Genomic DNA, 14,334 nt, shown 5'->3' with positions numbered 1-14,334 from the left:
GGAGACTGCTGGAGAGACCTCTGGGTGACACGTTCCCCCCGACACAATGGAAACTCACATGGTCCAGCTGTCCATCCTCCACGGGCTCCACTCCCCACCCGTCCCTGGCTTGCAGATCCTCTTAACACGGCATGTTTCCTTCCCTCCCCTCCACAGAGTTGGCTGACTCATTAGGCACTTCCCACAGTCCAGTTCCTTCATCCCCCTGCCGCTCCTGCCACAAGCTTGCTGCTGGAGTCTGGAGGACCTCAAATATTTCCAAGGACGTCAGACTTTGGGAGGCTGAGGACTTCACGGCCCGAGGGGAGAGCAAGCCGTCCGGCCGCTGAGACCCACTCAGAGCACGAACAGGGCAGGTGCTCAGAGGGCTCGCCCTCCCATCCACCCCAAACTGGCTGTTGGACATTCTAGTGTTGACCGAGAGAAAGAAGCTGAGGCAAAATCAATATACAGGGTTAATTTGGGCCAAGAGTGAGGACAGCCATTGGGGACACACTTCAAGTTGCCTTGGGGTACGCTGTGTGTTCGGCTTTTGTTACAAGCAGGCCTTTAAAGGCAAAAGGGGACAAGGAGTGGGTGATTCAACAATGTTCTTATTAGTTTGCAGGAATAACATTGGCTTGTGATTGGCTATGCATTGTTGAGCTATGGGGTATGAGTTATAGTGTCTGGAATATGGCATTTTATGGCTATGTGGTGGTGTCAGTTAGTCTAGAGCCCATATAGCAAGTGGCTTCAAGAGGTAATTATTTAGCTTGGTGGTCGGGGGCGGGTGAGATGTGACTGCTGTCATATGCTGTTGCATTTCTTTTTTGAGACAGAGTCTTACTCTGTTGCCCAGGCTGGAGTGCAGTGGTGCAATCTTGGCTCAAGCAATTCTCCTGCCTCAGCCTCCTGAGTAGTTGGGATTACAGGCGTGTGCACCAGTACGCCCAGCTAATTTTTTTTTTTTTTTTGAGACAGAGTCTCGCTCTCTCGCTCTGTCACCCAGGCTGGAGTGCAGTGGTACGATCTCGGCTCACTGCAACCTCTGCCTCCGGGGTTCAAGTGATTCTCCTGCCTCAGCCTCCCGAGTAGCTGGGATTACAGGTACACCATGCACAGCTAATTTTTTGTATTTTTAGTAGAGACAGGGTTTCACCATGTTGGCCAGGCTGGTCTCGAACTTCTGACCTTGTGATCTGCCCACCTGGGCCTCCCAAAGTGCTGGGATTACAGGTGTGAGCCACTGCGCCCAACCTGCTGTTGCATTTCAAAGATTCTCTGGGCCTGATAACGAAAGGGGGACTTGCATCCTTTTTTTTTTTTTTTTTTTTTTTTGAGATGGAGTCTCGTTCTGTCACCCAGGCTGGAGGGCAATGGTGTGATCTCGGCTCACTGCAACCTCTGCCTCCCGGGTCAAAGCCATTCTCTTGCCTCAGCCTCCCAAGTAGCTGGGATTACAGGCACCCGCCACCACGCCCAGCTAATTTTTTGTATTTTTAGTAGAGACAGGGTTTCATTATGTTGGCCAGGCTGGTCTTGAACTCCTGACCTTGTGATCCACCCACCTTGGCCTCCCAAAGTGCTGGTATTACAGGCGTGAGCCACTGCGCCTGGCCTGGGACTTGCATTCTTCAGATAAAGTTTTTTATTGTTGTTGTTTGTTTTTGAGATGGGATCTCTGTTGCTCATGCTGGAGTGCAGTGGCACGATCTCGACTTACTGCAGCCTTGAACTCCTGGGCTCAAGTGATCCTCCTACCTCAGTCTCCTGAGTAGCTAGGACTACAGGTGTGCACCATGCCAGTATATTTTTTATTTATTGTAGAGATGGGGTATTGTTATGTTGCCTAGGCAGGTCTCGAACCCCTAGGCTCAAGTGATTCTCCTGCCTCAGCCTCCGAAAGTTTTGGGACTACAGGCGTGAGTCACCACACCTAGCCAACACAACACTTCTAATGCCAAACGTTTGGGCTTTTTTTCTCCATACAACTAGTAATTCTGCAGCAGACACCAGTTGGGATTCCCATAATTCAATTCAATTCTGACATGATCTACCTGGAGATACAGGGGGTGAGCTCTGGAAGGGTCCTGAGCACAGGAGTGTTGGGAATAGGCCTCCAAAATCTGGCCATAAACTGGCCCCAAAACTGGCCATAAACAAAGTCTCTGCAGCACTGTGACATGTTCGTGATGGCCACGACGCCCACACTGAAGGTTGTGGGTTTACCGGAATGAGAGCAAGGAACACCTGGCCCACCCAGGGCGGAAAACCGCTTAAAGGCGTACCTAAACCACAAACAGCAGCATGAGTGATCTGTGCCTTAAGGACATGTTCCTGCTGCAGATAACTAGCCAGAGCCCATCCCTTTGTTTCCGCCCATCTCTTTGTTTCCCATAAGGAATAGTTTTAGGTAATCTATAATCTACAGAAATAATGCTTATCACTGGCTTGCTGTCAATAAATCGTGGGTAGATTTCTGTTCAGCGTTCTCAGCTCCGAAGGCTGTGAGGCCCCTGATTTCCCACTCTGCACTCTATATTTCTGTGTGTGTGTGTCTTTAATTCCTCTAACGCCGCTGGGTTAGGATCTCCCCGACCGAGCTGGTCTCAGCACAGGAGCTTCCATCTCTGTGGAGTTGGGGTGAACCACCCTCCCAGCAGATGGAAGTCTTCTTGTTCACCTACCTGGAAGCTCTCTGAACACTGTCCTTTTGCGTTTTGTGGGTGATTCCTGGTCATGATTGATTACATCATTGGCCATAACAAATATGCTTTTCTTTTTTTTGAGACAGGGTCTTGCCCTGTCACTCAAGCTGGAGTACAGTGGTGCGATCTCTGCTCACTGCAACCTCCACCTCCCAGGGTCAAGCGATTCTTGTGCTTCAGCCTCTTGAGTAGCTGGTGTGCGCCACTACACCCGGCTAATTTTTTGTATATTTAGTGGAGACATGGTTTTGCCATGTTGCCCAGGCTGGTCTGGAACTCCTGAGCTGAGGCAATCCTCCTGCCTCAGCCTCCCAAAGTGCTAGGATTATAGGTGTGAGCCACAGCGCCCGGCCATCCTGTTTTATTTTCTTCTTGCATGTATCCTTTTCTGAAGCTTGAGCTCCAGGGCCCCTTCACTTGCATAGGCCCTTTCCAAGGGTCAGTACCTAATTCGCATTACTTTCTTAAAAAGGACTCCCTTATCCTGCCAATCCAACTAAAAGCTTCAGACTCCATAAGATCTAAATCCATTTGTACCTAGAGCAGAGGACCAGGCTGCAATTAGTACATCCTGTGTCTGCCTCTGGCAGAAAGACAAACTCAGCATTCCTCCTGCCAGGCCACTTCTACAGGTCATTGCTCTCCCCACCTCTTCAGGCCTGAGTGCCAAGAGGCAGCCTGGCCCAAGAGTCTTCGTAACTGCCCTGCTAACAGTGCCCTGGATTGGCGGGGAGGGGGTGTCAAAACTCCAAGAGCTGCCGTGTGTACTTCTCTCTTCTGGATACCTTCCACCATGACTCTGCCAAACAGACATAAACCTTCTCAACCAGCAACCACCCCACTCTAAACTACTCAGAAAAGAGGTTGAAAAACCAATAAGACTTCTGCAGAATCTCTTTCCTTTCCAATCTGCAAAGCTAACCCTTACCTCTATCCCCTACCCCACCTCTTACCAGCCTGGGAAAATACAGTTGGCCCTCTGTATCTGTGGGTGCTGTATCTGTCATGCGTGTCCGTGTGAAGAGAGTCCACCAACAGGCTTTGTGTGAGCAACAAGGCGTTTATTTCACCTGCGTGCAGGCGGGCTGAGTCCGAAAAAGGAGTCAGCAAAGGATGGTGGGATTATCATTAGTTCTTGTAGGTTTGGGATAGGTGTACAAAGTACCTTCTTAAGGGCGGGGGAGAATATTACAAAGTACCTTCTTAAGGGCGGGGGAGAACATATCATATCAGTTGGGGTGGGGCAGGAACAAATCACAATGGTGGAATGTCATCAGTTAAGCTATTTTCACTTCCTTTGTGGATCTTCAGTTGCTTCAGGCCATCTGGATGTATATGTGGAGGGCACAGGGGATATGATGGCTTCGCTTGGGCTCAGAGGCCTGACATTCCTGTCTTCTTATATTAATAAGAAAAACAAAACAAAATAGTGGTGAAGTGTTGGGGCGGCGAAAATTTTTGGGGGTGGTATGGAGAGATAATGGAAGATGTTTCTCAGGGCTGCTTCGAGCGGGATTAGGGGCAGCATGGGAATCCAGAATGGGAGAGATTAAACTGAAGAAAGATTTTGGGGTAAGGGGTGATGTTGTGGGGTTGTTAGAAGGAGCATTTGTCGTATAGAATGATTGGTGATGGCCTGGAAGCGGTTTTTTATGAATTGAGAAACTAAACAGAAGACACAAGGTCCGAATAAGAGGAAGAGAAAAACAGGTATTAAAGGACTAAGAATTGGGAGGACCCAGGACATCCAATTAGAGAGTGCCCAAGGGGGTTCAGCATAATTATTTGCTTGGTTGGCGAGTTTTTGGGCTCTATCCTTGAGTTTTTTTATGTTGTATACCAGGCCAGATTGATTTAGGTAAAACAAAAACAAAAAAAACACTTTATTTAAAAATATATGGAGTCTTTTTTTAATTTTTTTTTTAGCAGTGAGTAAGTCGAGGCCTCCACAATTTTGGAGGAAAGAGAAATGCAAAGCCAGAAATTGTTTGTTAAAGAAGGGTTAGAAATGGCTAGGAGAGAGTGAGTGAGATTGATAGTGTGGTGGAGATAGCTGGGGAGAGGTAGAGGGTGGCATAAGAACGGGAACGAGAATAAGAGTGAGTATAAAAGTAAAGAATAGGACTTCATCAGGGTGAAAGTACTGGAGTGCACCCTGTCAGCAAAGATGATCTATCCACTTTGAGAGAGACTTAATGGTGCCGGTTTGAGGTAAAACCAGGAGATATCAGTTATGATGGTTTGGAGGAAAAGTGTAAACTGGCAGTGTAAACAAGGGCAGGGTATTTACAAGTAGTTGAAAATAATGAATATGAGTATGACTAGACAGAAGATAGCAGGGATGACAAGTTTTTGGGGTGCAGTTCAAGTTGGGATGGTGTCTGGAATGAGACTGGGCTCTAATAAAAAGGACTGTCCATACAGGAGCTTAAATGGGCTTTACTAGCACCCTGAGGACAGGCTTTAATTCTGAGAAGGGTGAGAGGTAAAAGTACTGTCCAGTCCTTTTGAAGCTGGAGGCTGAGCTTGGTGAGGTATGTCTTTAAAAGACTATTAGTCCGTTTTACCTTTCCTGAAGATTGAGGACGGTAAGGGGTATGAAGATTTTACTACTGAATACCAAGAGCCTGAGAAACTGCTTGGTGATTTAACTAATAAAGGCCGGTCCGGTATCGGACTGTATAGTGATGGGAAGGCCAAACCGAGGAATTATGTCTGACAGAAGGGAAGAAATGACTGTGGTGGCCTTCTCAGACCCTGTGGGAAAGGCCTCTACCCATCCGGTGAAAGCGTCTACCCAGACCAAGAGGTATTTTAGTTTCCTGACTCGGGGCATGTGAGCAAAGTCAATTTGCCAGTCCTAGGTGGGGGCAAATCCCTGAGCTTGACGTGTAGGGAAGGGGAGGGGGCCTGAACGATCCCTGAGGAGTAGGAGAATAGCAGATGGAACACTGAGAAGTGATTTCCTTGAGGATAGATTTAACCGGACACCATTAGCAGGGAGAGCATGTGTGTTTTCATGAAGAATTATGCCGAGATAGGTAATGGATGAGGAAGGAATTTGGGCTTGACTGAAGTAATGGGGGCTGTCCGTGAAGCCTTGAGGCAGTACAGCCCAGGAAACTTGCTGAGCCTGATGAGTGTCAGGGACAGTCCAAGTGAAAGCGAAGAGAGGCTGGGATGGGACGCAAAGGAATAGTAAAGAAAGCACGTTTGAGATCCAGAACAGAATAATGGCTTGTGGAGGGGTTGTGGAGGGAGGCATTGAGGAGGAGAGTATATGAGTTCGTCACCACGGGGTGGATAGGCAAAACAATTTGGTTGATAAGGCACAGATCCTGAACTAACTTGTAAGACTTGTCTGATTTTTGGACAGGTAAAATAGGGGAATTGTAAGGAGAGTTTATAGGCTTTAAAAGGCCATGCTGTAACAGGTGAGTGATAACAGGCTTTAATCCTTTTAAAGCGTGCTGTGGGATGGGATATTGGCATTGAGCAAGGTAGGGTGATTAGGTTTTAATGGGATGGTAAGGGGTGCATGATCGGTCGCCGAGGAGGGAGTAGAGGTGTCCTATACCTGTGGATTAAGGTGGGGAGGTACAAGGGGAGGATGTGAAGGAGGCTTTGAACTGGGGAAAAGGGCGGCAATGAGGTGTGGCTGTAGCCCAGGAATAGTCAGGGAAGCAGATAATTTAAAGTGTCTTGGCCTAATAAGGAACTGGGCAGGTGGGGATAACAAAAGGAGTGCATAAAAGAATGTTGTCCAAGTTGGCACCAGAGTGGGGGAATTTTAAGGGATTTTGAAGCCTGGCCGTCAATACCCACAACAGTTATGGAGGCAAGGGAAACAGGCCCTTGAAAAGAAGGCAATGTGGAGTGTGTAGCCTCCATATTGACTAAGAAGGGGACTGACTTACCCTCCACTTTAAGAGTTACCCAAAGCGTCTGTGATGGTCCAGGAGGCTTCTGAGGTGATTGAGCAGTGTCAGTCTTCAGCTGCGAAGCCAAGAAGATCTGGGAAGGCGTCAGTCAGAGAGCCTTAGGCCAGAGCTTTAGGGGCTCTAAGAGTGGCTGCCGGGCAAGCTGGGTGGTTTGATTTCCAGTGGATCCCTGCACAGATTGGACACAGCTTGGGAGGAATCCTGGGCTGCTGGCATTCCTTGGCCCGGTGGCCAGATTTCTGGCACTTGAAGCAAGGTCCTGATGGAGGAGGTCCTGTAGGAAGGCTTGACCGCTGCAGCTTAGGCATCTACGGCTTAGGCATTTTGAAGTTCTTGTGTGCTGGAGATGTGGCTGGGGTTTCTCTCACAGTGGAGGCAAGGAATTGCAACTCAGAAATATTTTGCTACTTGGCTGCCTCTACTCTATTATTGCATACCTTGAAGGTGAGGTTAATTAAGTCCTGTTGTGGGGTTTGAGGGCCGGAATCTAATTTTTGGAGCTTTATCTAACGTCGGGAGCGGATTGGGTAATAAAATGCATATTGAGAATAAGACGGCTTCCTGGCCCTTCAGGGTCTAGGGCTGTAAAGCGTCTCAGGGTTGCTGCCAAAGGAGCCATGAACTGGGCTGGGTTTTTATATTTGAGGAAAAAGAGCCTAAACGCTAACTGATTTGGGAGAGGTCAGATAAAGAAAAAGGAGCATTAACCTTGACTATGCCTTTAGCTCCAGCCACCTCTTTAAGAGGAAATTGTTGGGCAGGTCGGGGAGGGCTAGTTGCAGAACAAAACTGTAAGCTGGACTGGGTGTGAGGAGGGTAGGTGACAGAAGGATTATAGGATGGGGGAGCGGAGGCTGAGGAAGAATTGGAGCCTGATTCAGCCTGGCAGGGAAAGACCTGAGGAGGAGCAGTTTGGGGAGGAGGGGAGAGGTCAGATGGGTCAGTAGAAAAGGAAGATTGAAAAGACTCAGTGACACTTGGGGTTGGGACTGAGGGGACAGGTGGGAGGGAAAGAAGGAGGATTTGGGATGAGTAGCATTGGAAACAGAGACTAGGGAGGGACCGATGTGTAAAAGAATGCCTGGACATCAGGCATCTCAGACCATTTGCCCATTTTATGACAAGAATTATCTAGATCTTGTAGGATGGAAAAATCGAAAGTGCCATTTTCTGGCTATTTGGAACCACTGTCGAGTTTGTGTTGGGGTTAAGCGGCATTGCAGAAGAAAATAAGGGGTTTAGGTTTTAGGTCAGGTGTGAGTTGAAGAGGTTTTAAGTTCTTGCCAGGCTAAGGGAGAAGAAGGAGGAATGGAGGGTAGAAGGTTGCCCATAGTGAAGGAGGCAAGCCCAGAGAAAAGAGAGAGTGGAGACATGGAGAGAAGGGGTGGGGGGTGTTGCCCCCCAGGAAAGTGGTGCTTGCCACTAAGGGTGAACGATCAAGGCAGGCTTCCCAGCGGTGATCAGACACCTCTGAAACATGGGTGAATAATCAAGCAGGCATTCCCACAGTGATTAAACACCAAGGGAAGACTGTCTTCCCGAGGCCATGACTGGTGCTGGAGTTTTGGGTTCACGGATAGAATGTGTCTCCTCTGTCTCTACCAGAAAAGGAAAGGAACTGAAATTAAGAGAAGGGAGAGATTGAAGGATGGTGCCAAGACTGAATGGAGAAAGAGGTTGAGGGATAGTGAGAGAGGTTGGAGAAGAGAGTAAAAAGAGGCCGCTTACCCGATTTAAAATTGGTGAGATGTTCCTTGGGCTGGTTGGTCCGAAGACCCAAGGTCGTGGTGGATCTTTCTCCTGGAGCAAAGAGCAGGAGGACAGGGGATTGATCTCCCAAGGAAGGGCCCCCAATCCAAGTCACAGCACAAAATGTCACGCGCATCAATGTGAAGAGAGTCCACCAACAGGCTTTGTGTGAGCAATAAAGCTGTTTATTTCACCTCAGTGCAGGTGGGCTGAGTCTGAAAAAAGAGTTAGCAAAGGGTGGTGGGATTATCATTAGTTCTTATAGGGATAGGCATACAAAGTACATTCTTAAGAGCAGGGGAGAATATTACAAAGTACCTTCTTTTTTTTTTTTTTTTTTTTTTTTTTTGAGACAGAGTCTTGCTCTGTCGCCCAGGCTGGAGTGCAGTAACGTGATCTCGGCTCACTGCCACCTCGGCCCCCCAGGTTCACGCCATTCTCCTGCCTCAGCCTTCTGAGTAGCTGGGATTACAGGCGCCCGCCACCACGCCCGGCTAATTTTTTGTATTTTTAGTAGAGACGGGGTTTCACCATGTTAGCCAGGATGGTCTCGATCTCCTGACCTTGGGATCTGCCTGCCTTGGCCTCCCAAAGTGCTGGGATTACAGGCTTGAGCCACCACGCCTGGCCACAAATTACCTTCTTAAGGGCAGGGGAGAATATATTGTATCAGTTAGGGTGTGGCAGGAACAAATCACAATGGTGGAATGTCATCAGTTAAGGCTATTTTCACTTCTTTTGTGGATCTTCAGTTGCTTCAGGCCATCTGGATGTATACGTGCAGGTCACACGGGATATGATGGCTTCGCTTGGGCTCAGAGGCCTGACAGTATCTGTGGGTGCTGTATCTGTGGATTCTACATCCATGGACTCAACCAAGCACAGAAAAATCATATTTGAAGGGTCATGCACGGTGGCTCACACCTGTAATGTCAGCACTTTGGGAAGCTGAGGCAGGAGGATCGCTTAAGGCCCAGAGTTTGAGACCAGCTTGGGCAACATAGCAAGACCCCATCTGGGCAACACAGCAAGACCCCATCTCTACCAAAAAAAAAAAAAAAAAGCCAGGCATGGTGGTGCATTCCTGTAGTCTCAACAACTTGGGAGGCTGAGGTAAGAGAATCATTGGAACTCAGGAGTTCAAGGCTGCAGTGAACTATTGTTGGTGCCACTGCACTCCAGGCTGGGTGACAGAGTGAGACTCTGTCTCCAGAAAAAAAAAAATTGGAAAAAATTGAAAAAATCATTGTGCCGTACTGAACACGTACCCTTTTCCTTGTCATTCTCTCCCAAACAATACAGCATAAAAACTATTTACATAGCATTTAGATTGTATTACATATTATGTGTAAAATCTAGAGATTTAAAGTATATGGGAGGATGTGGGTAAGTTATATGCAAATACTATGCCATTTTATATCAGGGACTTGAGCATGCATGGATTTTGGCACCCAAGGAAGGTCCTGGAACCAATCCCCCACAGATACTGAGGGCTGACTGCACAATGTTTAGCACACAAGCTTTAACTCTCCCACTGCCTGGCCCTTGGCAGGCCTGACTAGTTGATCGCAGAACTCTTTCCAGGTGAGCTCCTATGCAACCACTACTGATAGATCAGAACGGAAGCCTATTTCCCTCCTAATGAAACTCAGATCTAAATTATTGAACAGGCAAATCTTTTTCAAGGGAAAAGGACCAATGCTTGCAATAAATTCCATCTATGTTGACTACAGGGAGGTCAATTCTAAGAATGTATTTTCTTTTTTTGTTTTTTGAGACAGAGTCTTGCATTGTCACCCGGGCTGGAGTGCAATGGCATGATCTCGGCTCACTGAAACCTCCGCCTCCCGGGTTCAAGCCATTCTCCTGTCTCAGCCTCCCATGTAGCAGGGATTACAGGTGCCCACCAGCATGCCCAGCTAATTTTTATATTTTTAGTAGAGACGGGGTTTCACTATGTTGGCCAGGCTGGTCTTAAACTCCTGACCTCGTGATCCGCCTGCTTCTGCCTCCCAAAGTGCTGGGATTACAGGCGTGAGCCACCGTGCCCCGCCTCTAAGAGTGTATTTTCTATTTGATCAAATAAGAGGAAGCCTCAGGGGATCTTGTGGTACATCCTGTGACAAAATGGGATAATCACTGACCTGGAACTGGGAGTCCTGCTCTGTTCTGGGCAAAATGACTAACTTCCTTATTTTGTATGGGGGGTTACTATGCATGTTAAGTGATCTTAAGAAAGTGAGTGGATTAGTGAGGGTTCTCTAGAGGGACAGAACTAACAGGATAGATGTATGTATGAAACAGTTTTTTTTTAAATTATTTTTTATTTTTCTCAGACTGAGTCTCACTCTGTCACCCAGGCTGGAGTGCAATGGCGCAATCTCAGCTCACTGCAACCTCCACCTCCTGGGTTCAAGTGATTCTCCCACCTTGGCCTTCCAAGTAGCTGGGATTACAGGCACCCACCATCATGCCCGACTAATTTCTGTATTTCTGTAGAGACAGGGTTTCACCATGTTGGCCAGGCTGGTCTTGAACCTCTGACCTCAGGTGATCTGCCTGCCTCGCCTTCCCAAAGTGCTGGGATTACAGGCATGAGCCACCGTGCGCGGCCGAAAGGGAGTTTATTAGGGAGAATTGACTCACACCATCACTAGGTGAAGTCCCATGATAGGCTGGCTGCAAGCTGAGGAGCAAAGAAGCCAGTAGAGGCTCAGTCCCCAGAACTGCAAAAGTAGGGAAGCTGACAGCGCAGCCTTCAGTCTGTGGCCAAAGGCTGGGGAGCCCCTGGCAAACCACTATGTTGTCCAAGAGTCGAAAGGCTGAAGTGCTGGGATGACAGGTGTGAGCCACTGCGCCCAGCCTTTATTCATTTATTTATTTATTTATTTATTTTAGAGGCAGGGTCTCACTATGTTGTCCAGGCTGGAGTGTGGTGGCTATTCATAGGCAGGATCCCACTGCTGATCGGCACAGGAGTTTTGACCTGCTTCATTTCTGACCTGGGTCGGTTCACCCCTCTTTAAGCAACCTGCTGGTCCCCCGCTCCTGGGAGGTCACCATATTAATGCTGAACATAGTGTGGACACCCGGTTGGCACAGTGCACTACAGCCCAGAACTCCTGGGCTCAAGCCATCCTCCTGCTTGAGCCTCCTGTGTAGTTAGGACTACAGGTGTGCGCCATTGTGCCCAGCCTCGTGGAGTTTTAAATGGGGGGCCATGGTGAGCGGTTCCCAGAACCTGGAGGGAGAGTGTCTTTCTCTGGTGGCAAAAGCAGTAAAAAAGGAGACAATGGACAAGGTTATGGGCTGCAGACCGAACCCATAATCAGCATCTGCCAAGTCTAGTCTCAGCTGCTGGGGCCCTGACACCTGCAGAGATGGTCCCACTGCACCTGTACAGATGGTCTCCAACTTCCAATGCTTCCATTCTGGATTTTTCAACTTTGTGATTGGTTTATTAGGATGTAGCCCCAACCTAAGTCAAAGAACTCCTTATGACTTACGATGGGGTTATGGTTTCTACTGAAAGTGTAATGCTTTCACACCATCATAAAGTTGAAACATCTGAAATCAAACCATTATCAGTCGGGGGACTGTCTGCTGTGCTGTCCACATTAAATGCATTTTCCACATACAACAGGTTTATGGGGCTGTAGCCCCTTGCGAATCGAGGAGCATCTGTATTACTTCCTATTTCAGTTGTTTCTCTTGGCAACCCCTTCTCTTTTCCTCTCAGACTGGCTGTTACACGCCTCCTCCACTATCCTCAGTCCCCCAACTACTCATTCCCTCACCCTCTGCCACCTCCTTCGAGAAAATACAGGCCACAAGGCAGGAGCCATCTAGCTCCCACCAAACCAGGAGGGCAGGGGAGTGTTCTCTGGTCTGGGACTTCGATCCCCCTACATCTATGGTGTCAGCCATCACTGTCCTCTTGCTAGCATCTTCAGCCTCACCTCTACTAGCTCCCTTTCCTCAGCATAGAAATCTGCTAAGGGCATTCCCAGCTTAAAACAAAACTAAACTAAAACTAAGGCCTGGTGCCTTAGTTTAGTTTTTAAAAAAACACAGTTTCGGCAGGGCGCAGTGGCTCACGCCTGTAATCCCAACACTGTGGGAGGCTGAGGCAGGTGGATCGCTTGAGGTCAGGAGTTTGAGACCAGCCTGGCCAACATGGTGAAACCCCGTCTCTACTAATACAAAAAATAGCCAGGCATGGTGGCATGTGCCTGTAATCCCAGCTACTTGGGAGGCTGAGGTACAAGAATTGCTTGAATCTGGGAGGTGGAGGTTGCAGTGAGCCAAGATGGTACCACTACACCCCAGCCTGGGCGACAGAGTGAAACTGTGTTTATGTTTGTTTTTTTTGTTTGTTTGTTTTTTTTTGAGACGGAGTCTCGCTGTGTTGCCAGGCTGGAGTGCAGTGGCAGGATCTCGGCTCACTGCAACCTCTGCCTCCCAGGTTCAAACAATTCCCCTGCCTCAGTTTCCCGAGTAGCTGGGACTACAGGCATGCACCACCACTCCTGGCTAATTTATTTTATTTTATTTTAGTAGAGATGGGGTTTCACCATGTTGGCCGGGGTAGTCTTGATCTCCTGACCTTGTGATCTCCCCGCCTTGGCGTCCCAAAGTGCTGGGATTACAGGCGTGAGCCACCGCGCCCTGCCGAAACTGTGTTTTTTAAAAAACAAAAACAAAAACAAAAAGCTAAAACTAAAACCCAAATCCCAAAAGCCCTTCTTCCACCTAGTGTCTCTCTCCGTCTTTCTCCTTCTTGGAAGGGAAGTCTACACTGGCTGGCCCTACTTTGTGACCTCCCTGCCTTTCCTCCACCCACCTATGGGGTCTCCTGCCTTCCCTGCTACAGCCTCCTCACCCACTGGCAAAGAAATGAAGAAACAGACCCTGCCTGGCTCACTGATGGCCTCTTGATTGCCAGATCCCTGGGACACCTTCCGGTGCTCGTTGACTTGTCCACTTCGGAGCTTCCCCCGCACAGTCATCCCCTGGACACCTCTCTCCTGGGACATCTTGCACTTTGTGGGACAGCACCTTCTCTGTCTCCTCTTAGGGGCTCTTAGGTCCTTGTGTCCTCCAGGGTCTTGTCAACGATCCGTCCTCATAGCACACTCTCTCCTTCAGCAAACTTATCAGACTCATGGCTTCTACTACTGCCTCTGTGCTGAGAATGTTTAGTAATAAGCAACATGTCAAAGATGCAAAATAATCACGTGTGGAACAAGGATACTGTGTAAAGAAAGACAGTTGAAGGAAAAAGAAAAAACACTGATAGGCCGGGTGCAGTGGCTCCCACCTGTAATCGCAGTACTTTGGGGGTCTGAGGTGGGCCGATCACAAGGTCAGGAGTTTGAGACCAGCCTGGCCAACATGGTGAAACCCCATCTCTACTAAAAATACAAAAAAAAAAAAAATAGCTGGGTGTGGTGGTGTGTGCCTGTAATCCCAGCCACTTAGCAGGCTGAGGCAGGAGAACCGCTTGAACCTGGGAGGTGGAGATTGCAGTGAGTCAAGATCGCGACGCGGCACTCCAGCCTGGGCAACAAAAGAGCGAAAATTCCATCTAAAAAAAAAAAAAAAGGGCCAGGCACGGTGGCTCATGCCTGTAATCCCAACACTTTGGGATGCCAAGGTAGGTAGATCACCTGAGGTTGAGGTCAGGAGTTTGAGACCAGCCTGGCCAACATGGTGAAACTCTGTCTCTACTAAAAATACAAAAATTTGGCCGGGCGCGGTGGCTGACCTGTAATCCCAGCACTTTGAAAGGCCGAGGCGGGCGGAACATGAGGTCAGGAGATCAAGACCATCCTGGCTAACGCGGTGAAATCCCGTCTCTACTAAAAATACAAAAAATTAGCCAGGCGTGGTGGCGGGCACCTGTAGTCCCAGCTACTTGGGAGGCTGAGGCAGGAGAATGGCGTGAACCTGGG

At 48.5% G+C, this 14,334-nt stretch overlaps 1 long non-coding RNA gene across 1 annotated transcript in view, besides 1 other annotated feature; it reads right to left on the bottom strand.

Annotated features, from left to right (window-relative positions):
• Positions 1 to 295: an enhancer, noted in NCBI's record as "tiled region #4454; K562 Activating DNase matched - State 5:Enh". NCBI's record gives its function as "activates a minimal TATA promoter and a strong SV40 promoter by Sharpr-MPRA in K562 cells {active_cell/tissue: K562}" and the evidence as "EXISTENCE:reporter gene assay evidence [ECO:0000049][PMID:27701403]".
• IDH2-DT (IDH2 divergent transcript) overlaps positions 8,420 to 14,334 on the bottom strand; it is a 31,441-nt gene continuing 25,526 nt past the window's right edge. The window contains exon 3 of the long non-coding RNA NR_149130.1: positions 8,420 to 8,595. This is a non-coding gene — a long non-coding RNA (IDH2 divergent transcript). The remainder of the gene's footprint in view (positions 8,596 to 14,334) is intronic.

Source organism: Homo sapiens, chromosome 15, assembly GCF_000001405.40.
Source record: "Homo sapiens chromosome 15, GRCh38.p14 Primary Assembly".
NCBI lineage: Eukaryota > Metazoa > Chordata > Mammalia > Primates > Hominidae > Homo > Homo sapiens.
This window is presented reverse-complemented; position numbering and strand designations above follow the sequence as displayed.